Source organism: Homo sapiens, chromosome 11 (genome assembly GCF_000001405.40).
Source record: "Homo sapiens chromosome 11, GRCh38.p14 Primary Assembly".
Classification (NCBI taxonomy): Eukaryota; Metazoa; Chordata; class Mammalia; order Primates; family Hominidae; genus Homo; species Homo sapiens.
Genome location: NC_000011.10, coordinates 91,537,527 through 91,539,048, shown reverse-complemented (window position 1 = coordinate 91,539,048; position 1,522 = coordinate 91,537,527). Strand labels below are relative to the sequence as shown.

General features: G+C 32.8%; 1 annotated feature.

The window, feature by feature from the left end:
• Positions 419-619: a silencer, noted in NCBI's record as "peak1388 fragment used in MPRA reporter construct". NCBI's record gives its function as "represses an SCP1 promoter by STARR-seq MPRAs in K562 erythroleukemia cells {active_cell/tissue: K562}" and the evidence as "EXISTENCE:reporter gene assay evidence [ECO:0000049][PMID:32103011]".

Sequence of the window (1,522 nt, the reverse complement as noted above, 5' to 3'; positions counted from 1 at the left end):
TTACTGATTACTTACTCAAAATCTAAAGAGAGCATAGGAGAAGTGGTAAATCCCAGTGTCACATTGACCATATTTGTTTGCAACTCAGATCCTTTGCAGAAGGAGTACTGTAGAAAAGAAGTGAATACAGTTATCAGGATGAGCATATACAGTTGCCTTCCTTAAACAGTTTGTGAATGTGACCTTGTATATTTGAGTCACTAAAAAGACAGATAATTAGGAAAACAATTGATTTTCATGGCACTTGTATCATCTTAATTCGTCTTAAATTTGTATTTATTTCTTCTAAATACATAAGAAGTCGGGAAATTGAAATCATTAATGAATATGCAACAAACCTGGTCGTTGAATATTGAAAATATATAAAATTAACTACTAAACATGGAATACAGTTGGTCTGGAGAAAGATAATGAATATGACTTAAACAGATCTGAAGATTTATGAACAGTCATTATAAGGAGTGTGGTTACCAGCTGTTCTACATGTCCAGAGAGATTAGAACAAGAAGTTCCTAACTGTAATGGTAATTAGACACAAGAAAAGGTTGCTGGAGAAAAGACTGTGGAACTTCCTTTTATGGAGAGATTTCTGAAACAAGATGGTTATCTTTTTTTGGGTTGCCTAGAAACAGGAGGATGATCTATATGACCTCTTTTAGATCTCCTCAAGTCCAATAAATTTATCTCTATGAATTTGTCTCTCCTTGAGTCCAAACTGAATTTATCTCTGTAAGTATAGCTTTAGAAAGCCACTGCTTCAGTAAATGTTTTCAGTTATGTAAATGCTGACTTAGGTAAAAACATTATTATAAAAATAACAGTGAAGAAATGTTTAGAAAGGCAGTTGGTACAGGTTAGCAAGTGCATAACAGTGCTGTTGTTTAAAATGAGGTTGAAATTCCAGGGTGTATAAATAAGAGAATTTTCTATAGAAACTGTGAGACAATTCTCTATACTTAGAAGCTATCAGGCACTTATTGTACTGTTATGACAGTTGAGGGTCTCACAACTGTAGTGTAATGCGGGAAGCTTGGAGTAGCTCCAACAGAATGTAGAAAAAAATGATAAGAGTGTTAGAAAAAGCTTATTTAAAAGTAAAAAGAAAAGGGGTAGTGCAATTCGAAATGGAGAGATAATTTTATTTTCTTTATATTGCCTTTGTTAGGTATATTTGTTGCTACTTTTATTTTTGAAGAAAGTTGTATAAAACTTAAAACTTAGGAGGTTTCTATAGATGTAAATTTTAAACAATGAATATTTAAAACCATGAGTACCATAGGATTGATTAAATTGTGTGTCATGTCTAATCGTTGATTTTTTCTATTTTTATGCACTATCTTATCTCTGCCTCTTTTTTCATTTGTCTTCTTCCTAGGAAATCACATCTTCTGGTAGGTTTTGATTCTCATTCATTATCTTTCTCCCCAAAGTGAAAGGGAAAATTCTAACATGCTGTCCAAGATTTCTTCCTCCTGATTTAAACACTGTGTGTAATCCCCTCCCCTTCAGCATGAGAATTACT